The 19,800-nt window shown below is 39.6% G+C and overlaps 1 protein-coding gene across 51 annotated transcripts in view; it reads right to left on the bottom strand.

Annotated features, from left to right (window-relative positions):
* CADPS (calcium dependent secretion activator) overlaps positions 1–19,800 on the bottom strand; it is a 477,069-nt gene that overhangs the window by 338,626 nt on the left and 118,643 nt on the right. For all 51 annotated transcript variants that reach the window (NM_183393.3, NM_001438352.1, XM_011534199.3 and 48 more), the window contains exon 3: positions 16,468–16,800. In NM_183393.3, the coding sequence (NP_899630.1) occupies positions 16,468–16,800 (333 nt within the window). The remainder of the gene's footprint in view (positions 1–16,467; positions 16,801–19,800) is intronic.

The raw sequence follows: 19,800 nt of genomic DNA on the forward strand, positions 1-19,800 counted from the left end.
TAAAATACAAAAAAAATTAGCTGGGCATGGTGGCACGTGCTGTAGTCCCAGCTACTCGGGAGGCTGAGGCAAAAGAATCACTTGAACCCTGGAGGCAGAGGTTGCAGTGAGCCAAGATCACGCCACTGCACTCCAGCCTGGGCAACAGAGAGAGACTCCATCTAAAAAAATAAACAAAACAAACAAACACACACACAAAAATAACCCCCACAATCTAAGTAAATCAGTCATACAGGAAGCCAAGGTGGGAAGATCACTTGAGGCCAGGAGTTCGAGACCAGCCTGGGTAACATAGTGCCATCCACTGTCTACAAAAATTAAAAACAAAAACAAAAACAAAAACATAGTAGCCAGGTGTGGTGGCACATGCCTGTAGTCCCAGCTACTCAGGAGGCTGAGGCAGGAGGATTGCTGAGCCCAGGAGGTAGAGGCTGCAGTGAGCTGAGATTGCACCACTGTAATCTAGCCTGGGCAACAGAGTGAGACCCTGTCTCTTACAGCAAAAAAAAAAAGCAAAAAAAAGAAAACGTAAACAGAAGAGTCATATCAAGATTCTATAGATTCTCATCTTTCCTTCCACTGGGCAAATCAGATCTGTCAGTCTCTCACTCGTAAACACCTAAGAGCTTCTTATAATCCTTGGAGTAAATCCAAGCTCTGAGGTATGGCCTAAGATAGCCCAGCCTTCTGAATGTACTTCCTTTCCGTTTCTGTTTGGTCTCTGTGCTCCATCCACACTGATCTTATGTCTTGGTATCCTTTGAACCAAGCTTATTGCTTTGTTTCATCAAAAGCACTTCCTTTTCCAGGTATGATCTTCCCCAGGCTGTTCCTTCATTTCCATCAGGCCTCTGCTGAAGGGTCACAAACCCTACAGAGACTTCTCTGTCTACATAATCTCAAATACCACCATTATCCTCTGTCTCCTCATTCTGATTTGTTTTTCTTTATAGCCCATATCTCTGTTTATATGACATAATATACTTTTTTTTTCTTGTTTTGCCCATTAAACATCAGTTTTTTGAGAGCAGAAATCTCATCTGTTACATTTGCTGCTATATCCTCAGTTCCTGGAACAGTGTCTGGTGTATGATAGACACTCAATTCACATTGAATAAGTGCACAATTGAATGTTGTTTTATCATTAATGGTGCATCCAGTCTTACACACCTATTTTCACTCTCAACTCACGTTTCTATGAGGTTTTGCTGATTTTATGGTAATCAAAACAACATTTTAAGATGGAAAAGCAGTGCCTGCCCATTTCAGAGTGACATAATGAAGTAGCTAGTACTTCTTGATGACAAAAGGATCAGAGAGAAAATATGTTCTTTCCTCTGAAAGATATGTGAAATAACAAACTAGTGACTCTCAAAACTGCCAATTAAAAGCATGATTGGACTTATGTTTCTACTTTTGCTAACAATCTCTGAACAACAAAAATACTTACACATTAAAAAAAAATTGATGCATTGTGTGGTGTCTCATGCCTGTAATCCCAGCACTTTGGGAGGCCGAGGCAGGTGGATCATCTGAGGTCAGGAGATCAAGATCAGCCTGGCCAACATGGTGAAACCCCGTCTCTACTAAAAGTACAAAAAAATTAACTGAGCGTGGTGGCAGGGACCTGTAATCCTAGCTACTTGGGAGCCTGAGGCAGGAGAATTGCTTGAAACTGGGAGGCGGAGGTTGCAGTGAGCCAAGATTGTAGCATTGCACTCTAGCCTGGGCAACAAGAGTGAAACTCCGTCTCAAAAAATAAAATAAAATAAAATTTTAAAAAATGATTGCTTTTTCATTAGGAGAGGTCAATTACCTTCAGGTCTTAATTCCATGTTATATGTAGTGGTTTTATTTACTGTAGCAATAGAAAACATTATTTTATAATAAAACATTGACTGTTTACTAAAATAAATTGGTAAAATAAGTTGGGCATATATTGGCTTTAAACAATTTTATGCCAGGGCATGTCAGCAATAATCATAGTTTGAGAAATTATGGTAGATTCAAAAGTGGCCATAACCTTCCACTCTGATTATAACGACACCTTTTGCAATATGAATTTATAGCTCCTCCCATCAAGAGATGGAGTCTGTTTCTCCTCGCTTGAATTTTAGCTGGCCTTGTGACTTCCTTTGCCAATAGAATACAGTGGAAGCAACAGTATGACAGTTCTGAACTAAGACTTCCAGAGTCCTTGTACTTTCACACTTTTACTTAAAACCCTGTCCAATGGCCATGTGAAAAAGTCCAGGGTGTGGAATCATTCCAACTGAAGTTATCCTAGATCAATCCATAGTCATCTGGCCTTCTAATAGAACAAAGCTTCCTACCAAACCCACAGCTGACAACAAACACAACAAACTCAATAAGTGAGCCCAGCCAAGACCATAAGAACTACCCAGCTCATGTATAGGCTTGTTAGCAATAACACATGTTTCTTGTTTTAAGCAATTGAGTTTAAGGATTGTTTGTTATGCAGCAACAGCTAACCCATACAGGTATTCTCACAATAGTAAAATAAACACATCCCTTATAAAGGTAAGGGCTTTGCCGCTTTCTAATGATCCTTGTTAAATCTTTTTGGCCTCCCTATACATAAGGATTTCACACTTCTTATCTCTTGTCCAGCTCCAAAATCTACTCAGATTCCACCCTTACTCTTGAATAATGAGGAACTCTACTTAGCTTGAGTTCCTTTACCTCAGCCAACTTATCATCTCCTCACTTCCAATTTCAAAGAAGCAGTCTTTTAAAGCTAGCATATCAGCATTGATGCCAGAAAGCAAACACACCAGTATAGTTTAGAAAAGTGGACAATTTAGGTTGAAAACAGTGAATGAAAGAGACAAAGGAAGAGATTTCCGATTAGGACAGTTGCCACAGTAAAGAGAGGTTGGTAGTTAATACTAGAACCCCACTGTAGTTATGCCTGTATCTTACTAGTCATCTACTACTCATAATGCTTACTTATTTTAAATGCTGTTTGTGTTCATAAGCTATTTTACACAATAATGCTGGATAGCCAACAACCCTTGAAATCAGTGACTTACACTAATATATGTTGATTGCCATGTTCATGGGTCTGTGAACTGATTGGGGTTCTGTTGACCTAGACTGAGCATGGCTGTAGGTTTTAGACTATGGGTTGCTTCGGAGTTGGCTTAGCTGGGCTTGGCTCCAGGTTGTGAGTTCAGTTAGATTTGTTTCATTTGTATCACGCAGAGGCCCAGGCTACAGGAGTAACAACTGCATAGGGCATGGTCTTCTCTTGGAAGATCCCCAAAGTGCAATGGCAGCAAAACCATGTGCACAAGCACATCTCAAGACCTCTGCTCATTTAGTCTGCTGACGGCCCACTCACAAAGCAAGCATGATGGCTGGTACCAAAGTTAAGGGGTTGAGAAGCTCACTTAATGCCCCATGAGCCATGGTAGGGTGTTTAATTTTAATACACAGTAGCAAAGAATTGAGGCAATTATTTCATTCAACCACATTACACTTATGATACAAATTTGTCTCTACTTTGGTCTATAATTGGGTAAAAGAAGATACCAGACATCTCAGATCATCTCTCTTTACTCAGCCTAAACAATTTCTTCATCATTCAAACCCAGCTCACCTAATACCTTCTCTGTGAAGCAGCAGCTGACCAATCAAACCCCATTGTTATCTGATAGCTCTAAAGTGCTCCAGCTGTTGAAACTTATACCACTCTGCCATGCCCCCTACTACCCCTATCACCATGCCACTAACTACCATCACCAACCCAGGCTATCATTTACTGAGTTCCTATCATGTGATGGGCTCCTTACATACCTTATTTCTATCTGATAGTTATTAATATCTGTTTTATAGAAAAGTTAATTAACTTGCTAAAGGTTACATCGATAATAAATAGCTAAGCCTGGATTCACACTGCCACTATATATTACAATTGTCTACTATTTTACATATTGACTTTTTAACAGTTAGAATTTATTGTGGATGGATTTTATTCCTTCAAATTGCATTGTATACTTATTGAAGGCACTTCTTCAGATTGTTCCCTGGCACAATTTGATGAATTGTTGCAATAACTGATTCCAGAGAACCAGCCCACCCTATACTTCATTATTCATTAGAAAGGAACTTTCTTAAGATGTGAGAATTTGATTAATTAATGGTAGCTAATAATAACTAGCACCAACCACCTTATTAAATGGGTACTATCCCAGCTGTACAAGGAAGAGCTGGTACCATTTCTACTGAAACTATTCCAAAAAATTGAGGAGGAGGGACTCCTGCCTAACTGATTTTATAAGGCCAGCATCATCTTGACACCAAAACCTAGCAGAGATGTAGCAAAAAAAGAAAACTTCAGGCCAATTTTCTTGATGAACGTTGATGTAAAATCCTCAGCAAAATACTGGCAAACTGAGTCCAGCAGCACATCAAAAAGCTAATCCATTATGATCAAGTAGGACTTCAACCTGGGATGCAAGTTTGGTTCAACATATACAAATCGATAAATGTGATTCATCACATAAGCAGAATTAAAGGCAAAAACCACATGACTATCTCAATAGATGCAGAAAAGGCTTTTAATAAAATCCAACATCCATTCATGTTAAAAACTCTCAATAAACTAGGTATTGAAGGAACATACCTCAAAATAATAAGAGCTGTCTATGACAAACCCACAGCCAACATCATACTGAACAGGCAAAAGCTGGAGGCATTCCCCTTGAAAACCAGTACAAGACAAGGATGCCCTCTCTCGCCACTTCTATCCAACACTGTATCGGAAGTCTTGGCCAGGGCAATGAAGCAAGAGAAAGAAAAAAAGAGCATCCAAATAGGAAGAGAGGAAGTCAAACTATCCCTGTTTGCAGATGACATGATCCTATATCTATAAATCCCACACAGTCTCAGCCCAGAAGTTTCTTAAGCTGGTAAACAACTTCAGCAAAGTCTCAGGATACAAAAATCAATGTGCAAAAATCACTAGCATTTCTTACAACAACAACAGTGAAGGTGACAGCCAAATCAGGAAAGAATTCCCATTCACAATTGCCACAAAAAAGAATAAAATACCCAGGAATATAGCTAACTAGGGGGTGAAAGATCTCTACAAGGAGAACCACAAATCACTGCTCAAAGAAATCAGAGATGACACAAACAAATGGAAAAACATCCAATGCTCATGGATAGAAAGAATCAATATTGTTAAAATGGTCATACTGCCCAAAGCAATTTATAGATTCAATGCTATTCCTATTAAACTATCATTGAGATTTTTCACAGAACTAGAAAAAAATATTAAAAAATTCATACGGAATCAAAAAAGAGCCTGGATAGCCAAGGAAATCCTACCAAAAAAAGAACAAAGCTGAAGGCATCATTCTACCTGACTTCAAACTATACTACAGGGCTACAGTAACCAAAACAGCATTGTACTTGTAGAAAAACAGACACAAAGATGAATGGAACAGAATAGAGAACCCAAAAATAAGACTTTACACCTACAAATATCTGATCTTCCACAAACCCGACAAAAAGAAGCAATGGCAAAGGATTCCCTATTCAACAAATGGTGCTGGGATAACTGGCTAGCCATATGCAGAAGATTGAAACTGGACACCTTCCTTACACCATACACAAAAATTAACTCAAGATAGATTAAAGACTTAAATATAAAACTCAAAACTATAAAAACCCTGGAAGACAACCTAGGCAATACCATTCAGGACATAGGCACGGCAAAGATTTCATGATGAAGACACCAAAAGCAATTGCAACAAAAGCAAAAATTGACAAATGGGATCTAATTAAACTAAAAAGCTTCTGCATAGCAAAACAAACTATCAACAGAGAAAAGAGAAAACAGAAAACCGACAGAATGGGGAGAATTTTTGCAAACTATGCATCTGACAAGGTCTAATATCATGCATCTATAAGGAACTTAAACAAATTTATAAGAAACAAACAACCCAATTAAAAAGTAGGCAAAGGACATGAACACTTCTCAAAAGAAGACATACATGCAGCCAACAATCATATGAAGAAAAGCTCAACATCACCGATCATTACAGAAATGGAAATCAAAACCACAATGAGATACCATCTCACACGAGTCATAACGGCTATTATTAAAAAGTCAAAAAATAACAGATGTTGGAAAGGCTGTTAAGAAAAAGGAATGCTTTTGGGTGGAAAAGGTAACATCTTACATCCATGGAATAATTTTTTGAAAGTAAATAATTATTGCTGTTATGATGTGATAATTATTTAATTTAGGGGTTAACAAACTGCAGCCCTTGAGTCAAATACGCCAGCTGCCTGCTTTTGTAAATAAAGTTTAACAAGAACACAGCCATGCCCATATACCTTATGTATTATATGTGGCTGCTTTCGCTACAATGACAGAATTAAGCAGTTGTTACAAAGACCACAGGGTTCACAAAGCCTAAAATATTTACCAACTCCTAGTTTATTTATTAACTGAAAAGCTTTGCAATTTGGAATTTTATGTATGATGTTGTATGTTCTTCCTCCAAAGAACAACTTTTTAAAAATTTTGCCCAGCTAGGAAACAACATGAAATAGCTACACTTTTCAGGTCATCCAATTGGCCAGATCACACAAAAGCATGACAAGATAAGAAAAACAAGCATTCCCTATCCTTCAACCATCCTCTGAAGACTGCAGGGCTTTGTTAACTATGTTTTTAAAAATTAAATCAGGAAACACTTGGATTGCTACAATAGAACGTAAATGAGCGAAGCAAACAAACCTAAGTAGTCTCCATTGAATAGATGCGTCCATTAAAATAATTCTTAGCCAATATACAGAATTGAGTCTTCAACTAAGCTTTCTTTTCCTCCAACAAATTTTAGGGGAAAAAAGAGCAGACCAAATAAAAGAGATTCATAAAAGACTTAGCAAAATACATACATATCTACCACCTTCCTAGAGTCTAGACAGGATCAATAAACTTTCTACTTAATCTCCAAAATCTTCTCTATGGAAAAGATGACTACTTAGGAGCTTGCTTTGAAGTCTTGAAATGTTGAGTTCAAATCCAAGCTTTGTTGCTGACTGGCTGTATGACCTTGGAAAAAAATTGTACAACCCCCCTTTTAGCTTCTTTACTAAAATGTAGGTACAAATGTCTGCTTTAAAGGCTTGTTATGAGGATTAAATTTGATGATGCATATAAAGTATTAGGCTTACTGTCTGGCACATAGTAAGTATTTAATACTTGGTAGGTATAATTGATGTCCAAACTGGAGGTCAGGACGTAAATTATGAAGCCTCCACTAACAGTTCACTCTAAAAGAATGATGTAGAATCATTCACTAGCCATCAAGGAAAGGGAATTAATGTATTTTATTCATATTTTCAAAAAAAAAAAGGATTGAAACACAAAGGGCTAACAACAAAATTTAATCAATACACTATACTCCACTACCCAAGCTTCTGCTAATTTTAGGTCTGAATCACTGAGGAAACAAAAAGGCTGCATGTTGGAAGAAGAAAAATTCAAATTATTAGCATGGGGAATCTGGACTGGTGAAACGTGTTCAAAGGTTAGTAAAATATCTCTATTTGCAAGGCTGTGCTAGATGGCTTATCATAGATTTTGTTGTTTGGCAAAAGGTAGAAAAAAGCAGAAAATATTATTTTTGTATGTATCTTTCTGAAAGTATACCTCTTTAACATCTCTGATTACAATTTTGTGGCTCAATGCATATGAAAAGACTTTGAATAAATGAGCATACTTATGAATCCATTTTGGCAACAAAGGAAAGAGATTGCTGAAATGTCTATAGCAGTTTTGAAGGCTGCATAGAAAATGCCCAATTCCCTGCTCCTTAGATGCAGGATACCCACTGTCTCTCAATTTCTACTTTCCATTGCTGTTAGCATCTTGGTAACAGCAGGTGCAGTCAGATAGAAATATCTGGCCATGTGTTCTAGAAACAAGTGATAGAGAAGTAAGAAAAACCACGATGGGGTCTTCAGAAAATTATGGCTCTGGGAAATTAAATATTGCCCTCTGGCCCTGTACCAACCACATCTTTAATGCCTCTAAATTTGTCCCTAGTAACTGAGTATATGCATCTTTTTGCTTTCTTTTTTTTTGAGACAGGGTCTTGCTCTGTCACCCAGGCTGGAGTGCAGTGGCACAATTACAGCTCACTGCAGCCTTGGCTTCCCAGGCTCAAGTAATCCTCCCATCCCAGCCTCCCAAGTGTGAGCTACCACGCCCAGCTAAATTATTTTGTATTATTTTTTGTAGAGACGGCATTTCACCATGTTGCCCAGCCTGGTCTTGAACTCCTCGTCTCAAGTGATCCACACTCCTCAGGCTCCCAAAGTGCTGGCATTACAGACGTGAGCCACTACATCTGGCCAGTATATATGTATTGATGTATTTTCACATTGGAAGATTGCTGAAATTAAGGTACATCTGGCAAGCAAAGTCACTTAAAACTGGCAGTCCCTTGAATATCTAATGACTTCTAGGGGCAGTGTATGACTTTGAAAAGACATGGTTAATTTCTGTCCCTCTTTGATCAACCTTGTCTTGGAACAGACAGATTGAGTGTGGTCAGAAGGAAAGTTTATGCCTGGAAGATTACTGTGACCCTCAGGTAACATCCACATTATAAAACAGGAGTACCAGCAGATGAATTCAGGCTGAATACTGAAGACCTGTGACACTGCTGCACTTTGTTGAACCAGAAAAAAATGACCAAACATGCACCTTGTGTAATGTGGGCATTTAAGCTCCTTGAGGCCATAACTGCCTTGGACTCTGCATTTACTGATTTAGTCAATATTTAATTGTGCATCTATTTTGTGCTGAGCATTGTGCTAAGTGTTGGCTGTATAGTGGTGAACGCAATAGACATCACTCTTTGCTCAATGAAATCTAGAAGAAGAGATAGACAATAATAGAAAATAAGTGTGCAAAGCAATTTCAGACTGCATTAAGTGCTGTATAAACAGGGTATTGTTTCAGGAAGGAAAACAGCAAACACTGAGGAGCCCATTTTAGGCAGAATGGTAAGGGAGAACTTCTCTACAAAGGTTACATTTAAAATGATACCTGAAGGAGCCAGCCTTATGAAAGCCTGTGGGCAAACAATGTTTGGATGCCTCCCACAGTGAGTTATGCCCTACTTTGGTCCCACCCTTGAGTGTGGGAGGAACCTAATCAATAGTGTATAACTTCTATCAAGAGTATACACTTCTAATCAATAGTATATGACAAGAATGAGGAGATTTTACAGATGTAAAATTCTTAATCAGTTGACTCTAAATTAATCTAAAGGGAGACTAACTTCATGGGCCAGACTTAATCAGGCAATCCATTGATTGATTGATTGAGACAGAGTCTCGCTCTCTCAGCCAGGCTGGAGTGCAGTGGTGGGTGTTTTCATGGCTCACTTCAGCCTTCACCTCCTGGTCTCAAGCGATTCTCCCACCTTGGCCCCTCAAGTAAGCTGGGACCACAGGTACATGCCACCATGCCTGGCTAATTTTTTAAATGTTTTGTAGAGATAGAGTCTCCCTATGTTTCTCAGGCTGTTCTCGAACTTCTGGCCTCAAGCAATCCTCCCTCCACAGTTTCCCAAAGTGTTGGGATTTCAGATGTGAGCCACTGTGCCCAACCAGGTGATCCTTTTAACAGTGCATCTATAAATAAAAAATTTGATGCACCAGAGACTCTCTCTCTCCCTGTTGCTGGATCTGGAGATTCTACAGCTGCAAGGAAAGGAGTTTTGCCAACAACATGAAGGAGCTTAGAAGTGGATCCTTCCCTGTTGAGCCTCCAGATGTGAGCACAGCCTCGCCAGCACCTTAATTCCAGCTTTGTGAGACCCTTAACAGACGACCTGGCTAAGTCATGCCTGGACTTCTGACCTAGAAAAATTGAGATAATAAGTGGGCATTCTTTTAAGCTGCTAAATTTGTGGCAATCTGTTACACGGCCAAGACAACAAAAACAATAATCTAAGCAGGACAACTATAAAGTCATTGAGAGGTGTGTAGTGAACAAAGAGGACAATTAGTCAGGAGCCACATCATGGGCCATTGTATGACAAAGTAAGAAAGTTTAGGCTGTATCCTCAGCATACAACACATGATGCCTAGTGCAAAGTAGATGCTAAAATCTGTTGAATGAATGATGAAAGTATGCTTCTAAATAAAAGGGTTTAATATTAGCCTTCCGTCACTACTTCCCATCTCCAGATTTTAAAACATTTCTTCTGTAGATATTCAGTGAAAGATCACTCATGCGAAGAACTATATTGTTGTTACAGGATCAAGAAAAGAGATGAAGAAATAGAGTCTGGCCCCCAAAGCAAATGTTCAGTCAACAGACCTACCGGAAACTTCTGGACAAGGAAAAAGCTATGTAGTTATATGGAGATTAAGGGCTCTGTAATGAGGTATGGATACAACCCAGCAATCTGGGTCACAGCTGAAGGCCTGATAATTTGAGGTTTCTCTTCAGAGTCTAATAAACTATCTGAAAAGCTGCCATGTGTTCATCAAGTTCAAGGAAGATAGTGCTGTAATAAGATAACCACATCATCAAAGGCCATGCTGATGATGGTTTGGAGGAAAGGAAATTGAATGTTAAGAAAATTAGCAGTTCAATAATGATAGAGAATCCAATATTGAAAATGCAAAGGTGTTTATAAATTGAGAAATCAAGTTTCCTGATTTCTTTCTTCTTCCTTCCAGACTTATCTGAAAAACCTCTAGAAATTCAGAGAGAATAAATGAACAGATTATCGTCTTATCCTATTAGTTGGAGTGTGGATGTTATCCCTGCTGCCAGTTGGGCACATGTAATGGCCAAGGAGAAGTTTAGAGTCATGCTGCACTTAGTTTAGAAGGGAAGAGTGTGATCAGTAAGAGAAAAACCAGAAATGGCATTTTCAAAGAGCAGAATGGAAACATCGAGATACAACTGACATCCTTAGCTCATATTCACCACATCTTCAAAATTAGCTGGATTGCTTCACTAAGAAGAGTCTATTTGCCTTTAAAAATACATGAAGATGGCCGGGCGTGGCGGCTTACACCTGTAATCCCAGTACTTTGGGAGGCTGAGGCGGGCGGATCACAAGGTCAGGAGATTGAGACCATCCATCCTGGCTAACTCGGTGAAACCCCGTCTCTACTAAAATTACAAAAAAAAAAAAAAAAAAAAAAAAAAAATTAGCCGGGCATGGTGGCAGGCACCTGTAGTCCCAGCTACTCAGGAGGCTGAGGCAGGAGAATGGCGTGAACCCGGGAGGCGGAGCTTGCAGTGAGCCGAGATTGCGCCACTGCACTCCAGCCTGGGCGAGAAGCGAGACTCCGTCTCAAAAAAAAAAAAAAAAAAAAAAAAAAAAATTAAGATGTAGACCTTACTCCTTCTAAAATGCACATTTGAGGTATTTTTCAAGGGAAAATATCCGCACAGTTTTGAATGAGATAGTTAAGGATAACTTATAAAGTTAAGCAGAGGAGTAGAAAGTAGCAGACAGCTGGTACAACTGAGAATCAAATTTACGCCAAATTTGAAGGTTACTAAAGGGAAAGGGGAGAGATGGTGCATCTTGAAAATGTTTTTAAATATCATATCGTCATCATCATCATCGCTGTCAGCTTTGCATTTCATGAAGATGGAAAGCAGGTCTGTCTTAGCCTCATTTCTCAGATAATAAAACCTATTCTCAAATTATCTCACTTAAAAATTTTTTTTGAGACAGAGTCTCACTCTGTCACCCAGGCTAGGGTGCAGTGGTGAGATCATGGCTCACTGTAGCCCTGACTTCCCAGGCTCAAGTGATCCTCCCACCTCAGCCTCCTGAGTAGCTGGGACTATGGGTGCATGCCACCACACCCAGCTAGTTTTTAAATTTCTTGTAGAGATGGAGCCTAGGCTGGTCTAAAACCCTTGGACTCACATGACCTTCCCATCTTGGTGTCCCAAAGTGCTGGAATGGAGCTGTGTGCTCAGCCTACCTTACTTTTTTTGAGTTACCTTTAGAATTCAACTCAAATAGCTACATAATTGACTGCATCTTCCCAAGGGTCTATGAAAAATAAAACCAACACTGATTCATAATAAAATTTGCCATTTTACTTTGGATATTATGTTGAGTATGAATTTCTTCTATGAGATTTATCCACTAATTCTCAAACAAACAGAATAGATGTTAAGAAACTCCGTGGGCAAATTCAGAGACATTTGTTAAACTCTCTTGCTTTTCTCTTATCTTTTGATAGACATGGTTCATGTTACAACAGATAACTGATATGTAACTGACATAATCGCTCTTTGATAAATGTCATTTCTCATTTGAGATAAAAATGGCAGTTACTGGCAGAACCTCATAAAGAGAGAGCATGGGAACTTTCACAAAGCAGCAGCAGAAATCAGATTACAGCTTCCCCTAGGATACGATATGCGTAAGAGGAAAACATTAAGCACATTTTGGGTTTGGGAAGCACCTAGAAATTGCTTTGTTTGGTAAGGAGAAGAAGGTCCAGAAAATACAAAATTAAACAGGAAACAATTTCAGCAGAGTGAGGATGAAAGTGATACAATATCATTTCTGTATTCTTGCTACTGTGAGTTGATAAGAGTTGTGCAGAGCTGAGTGTAGTCTGCCAGAAAGTGAGTAAATGTATAATTTCAGACACCTGATGGTAAGGCATGACAGGTATACTATCTTTGCTGCCTGTCTACATACAGCCTGCCAGCAAGGAAAGAGGAGGGAGGTAAATTAAATCTCTGCTTTGCTACCTGCCTATGCAGACTTCATATGAAAGCTGCTGTGGTCAGTCTGAGGCTATTTTCAGGGATGGAGTCAGAGAGCTCTGTCCCACCAGCCTCAGTGCGTCAGGGCACTGTCTACTGCCACCGTGTCTTCTGCATCACTGTGGTGTGAGATGATCTAAGAGGGCCAGCCAATGAAGAGTTTCTATTTTAATAGTTGGGTTTCACTTTAATGCATATTATTTTTTTGTAAAAAGAATATATCAAAGCTGTGATTTTATGTACATTACCTAAGATAAAGACAGGTTTAAAAAGTGAACTTGGGGCCAGGCACGGTGGCTCATGCCTATAATCCCAGCACTTTGGGAGGCCGAGGTGGGTGGGTCACCTGAGGTCCAGAGTTTGAAACCAGCCTGGCCAACATGGAAAAACCCACCTCTACTAAAAATACAAAAATTAGCCAGGCATGGTGGCACGTGCCTGTAATCCCAGCTACTCAGGAGGCTGAGGCATGAGAATTGCTTGAACCTGGGAGGTGGAGGTTGCAGTGAGCTAAGCTTGTGCCACTGCACTCTACCCTGAGTGACAGAGTGAGACTCTTAAGCTCCAAAAAAAAAAAAAAAAAAAAAAAAAGGTGAATTTGAGAGTTAGTTTAATAAGAAACATTAAATAATCATCCAGGTAGTACTCGGAAATGGCAAAGATTATGAAGGTGGTATGTTAACGCCTGAAGTCTAGAAAACAATTCAGAAGATAACTTTCTTCATATCCCATTGTTTTGATGGTTTCTTTGTTGAGACTTTTGGTATTTGTTTTCATTTACAGAATAACTGTGTTTAAGGTAGAAATTTGGAGACATAAAAAAGCACAAATGAAAATCATAAAAATCAACCATAATCCTATCCTTTAGAGATAAGCACAGTTAACATTTTGTTCTTTGCCTGTCCAGTACCTTTTTCCATCCTTTGTTCCCATAGAAATGGGACTGTGCCTGCATATTGTGCTTCATAGCCAGATTCTCCACTTAGCAATATCTAAGGAACATTTTCCCACATGGCAAGCCTTCTTCTTTAACAACTCTTTTATTGCTGTTCTATTGGATAAAGAAAATTCCCTTGTATGGTTAAATCAAAATCTAATTAATTAATCCTATACTGCTGGGAATTAAGCATGCTTCCATTTTTTCACTATCATATAAAAGGCTGCAGTGAACATCTTTGGACTTAACACTCTTGCACACACTTCTGCGTATCTACTTGTAATGAATTCCTAAAGGTAGAGCTCCTAGGTCAAAAGGTTTTCCCATTATGAAGGTTTTCTGCTGCAAACTAACAGATTGCAGAAAGGCTACACTAAGAATTTATTGCCACAGTAAGTTTAGAGAATAGCCATCTCTATATTGTCATAGAAATGGGTATTATATGTTGTGAAATATTATCATGACCAATATTTTCTTTCTTTTAAAATACTTTTGTTTGCCAATACACTCCTGAAACTTAGATTACTAAAGACATAGAAATCAAAAAACCATATATTTAGAATTCATGTGTATTTTTGTATGTATAAATTACTTTCATATGTTCTTTTGCCCTAATTTCTATTGATATGAAACCCTGAAACAATAATCAGATTTAGATATGAATAGAGAGTAAAATACTAAATGTCTTAAGTATCCCTGTCCCAAGAAGAAGTACTTTATCTTGTAATTTTTTTTTGTTGGAGATGGAGTCTCGTTCTGTTGCCCAGGGTGGAATGCAGTGGTGTGATCTCAGGTTCAAGCAATTCTCCTGCCTCAGCCTCCCTAGTAGCTGGGATTACAGGCATCCTCCATCATGCCTGGCTAATTTTTGTATTTTTAGTAGAGACAGTTTCACCATGTTGGCCAGGCTGGTCTTGAACTCCTGACCTCAGGTAATCCACCCGTCTTAGCCTCCCAAAGTGCTGAGATTACAGGCATGAGCCACCGTGCCTGGCCTATCTTGTAATTCTTTTTTGGCTAAGAGTACAATCTTTATTCTGGAGAGAGAAGATATTCTTTAATATTACTGTACTTTTTTCTATTTCGCAAAAAAGATTTTGAGGGTAAAATGAGTCGGATTAATTCATTTTTTAGGAGAAAACAGTAAAATATGATCCTGCCACTCAATTCAACAAGTGCAAAAACACTGAGATAAGACAAGAAATGGCATAACAATGGATTCACTCCAATGAAGCTGAGTTTGAGCAAGCACAGAAAATATGCATAAGCTGTTGCAATAAGAAGAAAAATTAATCCCTAGAATAATTTTGTACCTAGAAGGTTTAGGAACACTTGACTCTCTCTGTAATTCTGAATCTTGCTTATAACTCAGGTGGATGATTTTTCAATATTGAAGCTATGACACCTTCTTGTGGTGGAAATGCTGGTGGAGGTGATAGTGGTGGTGGAGGCTAACGCCACCTGCTTATCCCATTCTAAAACTGCTACATGGTGGGATGTAGTAATATTTTAAATAAAATAATGATTAAATTTAATTTTATATTGATATGTGAAATTTCAAAATACTTTTTGACCCATCACAAAAAACCTTTCATCTCCAGATTTGTAATCAATGTTTTCAATTAAAGTTGGATGAGATGAAAGTAGATACCAGCAATATCTTTGAATGTGATGCATGTGTTGTATTATGAAATGCTAAACAGACTCTTACTAAAACATCCAGAAAATTCAAGGTGATATATCATAGTTGATAAGACCCTACCTACTAGTTAAAATAATTTTCCATTATCCATTTATTAATTCGATAAACATTTACTGAGCATTCACTCTGTGCCAAGATTTTATATACTGGGAATATTAGCAAACAAGGCAAAGATGAATCTCTCTGATAGTTCTTTGAAGGTGAAGGGCAACATAATTACCAGGAAGGAAGGTCCTTGTTTAAAATGCAGATTCCTGGGCCATGCTCTGAGGCTGCAGAATGAGAATCTCTAGGGCTAGCAGCTGGGAATGTGCATTTTTAAATTGCTCCTAAGAGACATCCAGTAAGAATTTCAGACTGCAAAATAGGCACGTAATAAATATTTGTTGAATAAATGAATATAATGCTAAGCTTAGGCAGGATATCAAGATATGAGATACCTCGCTTCCCTAATCCTCCATCTAGAGGAAATACAAGCCCATTTTGGGGTGGACCCAAGCAGAGCCTCAGCTCTCGCCATCAGAACCACTCAGAAATTCATGATGTGACTAATATACAGGTATCGGGCCTTTTGCAAGCTTTCCATTTTAAAAAATTATTCTTGACAGGCAGGTGCTAAGTTCAGTAGTCTTCCCAGCTGAGGAAGCACAAGCCCTTCAACTGGCAAACACCAAAGGCAGAACCATATTTTTTAAAAAATTGATTTTTAGCACTTTTGACACGTGGAAAACAAGCCTTACTCATAGGGCCAACTTACCCATTAGACACAATGAGCTCAATGCCTAGGGCCCCTGAGACTTTTAAGGGCTCATAAAAATGTTTTATTTATTTATTTTTTAAATCAGAAGAAAAGCATGAATATACTCCAGCCTAAACTGTATTCAACTTTTTACCAGTAGAGTAATAAAATATAAGTTTTAATCCTTTTTTTAAAAAAATCAAGAAGTATCTCATAGAAGTTGGAATGCAGCTCTGCTTACCCACAGCTCTAGGCCCAGGCGAGAAACACCTTACCTGGCAGGCATTGTAAAGGAGCTGATGTTCGAACTTCTTGATCCCAAGAATGTTCTGGAACATCTCATAGAGTTGCTCCTTGCTCAGAATCAGCTCGGAGGCTGCGCTGGCTGTCATCCGGGCCTGCTGCTTCCGCGGGTCCTCTTCTCCACGGTAGATGGCATCAAATTTGGCCATCCAGGAGCTCAGCACAGTCTCCTTGCTGAGGCCGTCAATCTCAGGCAGGCTGCGCACTCTCTTCTCAATGTGCTTCTTGAAGACCTCCCGGGAGTCGTTGGCGGAACAGCCTCCACTCTGAACCATGCGGGCCACACGGTCGCTCTTCAGGAACACCTGAGCAAGAACAAGGCCAGGAAAGACAGTAGGAGAGTTTACCACAGAGGTACCAGTTCCCTGGGGCTGGACACTGGGCCAGTCCACCTCACGTGCATCCCAGGAGGAACCACTGTGGGTCTCACCCTGCCCCACCACCTCCTGGCTGTGCAAACTCAGAGTAGTCTCTTACACATTCTGCTTCTGTGTCCACATCTGTAAGATGAGAATAACAATTGTACTTACCAGGTTGGTGCAAGGATTAAATGAGATGATACTATCATGAGAGGCAGCACATGGTATACAGACCTGTGCCCGGGCTGCATAGGTTCTCTGCCCCTTAGTGGCTGTGGGACTTTGGGCAAGTTAACCTCTTTGTACCTCAGTGTTTCCATTTATAAAATGGGGATAATAGTATTTATTTAATGTTTAATTTCTTTTTGAGATAGTCTTGCTCTGTCACCTAGGCTGGACTATAGTGACAATCACAGCTCACTGTAACCTCCACCTCCCAGGCTCAAGCGACCTCCAGCTTCAGCCTCCTGAGTAGCTGGGACTAAGTGCATGCCACCACACCTGGCTATTTATTTATTTATTTATTTATTTTGTATTTTTGGTACATACAGGGTTTCACCATGTTGCCCAGGCTGGTCTCAAACTCTTGGGCTCAAGCAACCCATCCACCTCGGCCTCCAAAAGTGCTGGGATTACAGGCATGAGTCAATGCACCCAGAATTTAATTTTTTATTTTAAATAGAGGCAGGACTTTGCTCTGTTATGTAAGCCAGACTTCAGTAGTGATCACGATGCACTGCAGCCTCAAACTCCTGGGCTCAAGCCATCCTCCTGCCTCAGCCCCTCAAGTAACTGGGACTATAGGTGTGTGCCAATATGCCTCGATAATTTTTTAAACTTTTTGTAGAGACAGGGTCTTGCTGTGTTGCCTAGGCCAGTATGTATTTTAAAATGAGGATTAAATGTGTTAATGTGTAAAACACACATAAAATAGTGCCTGGCCCATGTTACACTTGTTGCTGTTATTATTATTATATGTAAAGTGCCTGGCATGATATCAGGCACATAGCATTAAACATTAACCACTATTTGTACCTCCTTTTATCCCTTCAATGATACTTTTAATTGAAAGTATACAAGTATCAGGTAAACATATATTTAATTTTCTCTCTTCCTTCCTGAAATGTAAACTCTACTTGGGCAAGGAACGTGTCCTTCTTGTTCCTCACAATGTCTTCAGGTCCTAGAATGTCTTCAGCACCTGACACTTTAAAAGTGAATTAACAATGAATATAGGTGTTAGGTTAAGTTTATTTTGTAGATGAAAAACTGAGACTTCAGAGAGGGGAAGGGACTTCCTTTTGGTAGCTCAAATTGTCTGACTACCAATGGGTAGTCTTTTTACTTCACCCGGGTTCCTTCCTTCCCTGCAGGGTTCTCCTGCTTGATGAAAACCTCTCCCCCCTGGTGGAAAATCCCTGGTTGGTCTGCTGGTGCTACCTGGTTGAGTCCTGGGACCAAGACTTCTTCTATTAAGAAAGTCTTATTTTTGCTCCACTGCCCACCATTCGGAAGCTTACATGAGCTACATGGTTCTGGGGTGTAATACAAGGCAGTGAAGCCGCCGCTTCATATTCACGGAGAGGAAGCATCTGACACGTTTGAGCTGCGTCCTGGTCACACTTCAGAAGGTGCATAAATATCCTTCAAGAGGCAGAGCAAATGTTCATTCCCCTGTCAGATTTCAGGAAATGCACTTGTTGGCCATGAGACAGCACTGCCTGGGGGCATCTCATTGCCTCATGCTTCATCACAAAGCGTTTCTGGGGTGGAGAGATGTTTTTTTTTAAAAAGGCTCCGGTTTATTGTTGACTTTAATGAACTAATTTAGAAAGGATGGCTGAGGGTTTGCCTCACAGGGTAGAGGCCATGGCCTGCTTCCTTATGAGTGGGAACTGGTACTCAGATGAGACCTTAGAGTTAATTTGAAAATTAATTATAGACAAAATAGTTTCAAATGAATCCTCAGGCCTTATGAGCCTTAATGAGCTAAATAATTCATCTGCAAACCTGTAACACTTAATGGGGATGGTTTCTCCATCTAACCAACACATTATAGATCTCAAATACCAGTGTTTTGAGGCTAGTGGAGGAAGTCTCTGGAAAGGCAATGGAGCATTGTGGCAGGAGCTGTAACTCATGATCTCAGGCCAGGTCTGCCTCTAACTTGCTGTGTGACCTTGAGTAAATCATCTCCCCTCTCTGATTCTCTAATTTCTTTTTCTTTTTCTTTTTTTTTTTTTTGAGACAGAATCTCACTTTGTTGCCCAGGCTGAAGTACAGTGGTGCGATCTTGGCTCACTCAACCTCTGCCTCCTGGGTTCAAGCGATTCTCCTGCCTCAGACTCCCAAGTAGATGGGATTACAGGCATCTGCCACCATCCCCAGCTAATTTTTGTATCATTATTATGTTTTTAGTAGTAGTGACGGGGTTTCTCCATGTAGGCCAGGCTGGTCTCCAATTCCTGACCTCAAGTGATACACCCGCCTGGGCTTCCCAAAGAGTTGGGATTACAGGCGTGAGCCACCATGCCTGGCCTGATTCTCCAATTTCTTATCCATACACCAAAGGAATTGAACAATAAGGTTTGGGGCTATCCTTTTAACTGTAATGATTATAAACTTTTCCATGAACCCATTCATCCTTTCTTTGGTTACTCTCTAGGTGGAAGACACTGTACCAGGTGTCAGGAATACAACGGTGAGGAAGACACAGATTTAGCTCTCATGGAGTCCAACTGACATAATCCTAATAATGCCATGCAAATATGATTACGATCTGGAACAAGTGCTATCAAGACAAGGGTCCACAAGAACCTATAGCTAGGAATCTATTCTAATATGTGGTCAAGAAAGCCTTCCTGAAAGAAAACACCTTTGAGATGATGCATGAAAGATGGATAGGTGAATGGAGAGCTGTAATTTATTTTAGAGAGAAGGAACAAT

This window comes from Homo sapiens, chromosome 3, assembly GCF_000001405.40.
Source record: "Homo sapiens chromosome 3, GRCh38.p14 Primary Assembly".
NCBI classification, from domain to species: domain Eukaryota; kingdom Metazoa; phylum Chordata; class Mammalia; order Primates; family Hominidae; genus Homo; species Homo sapiens.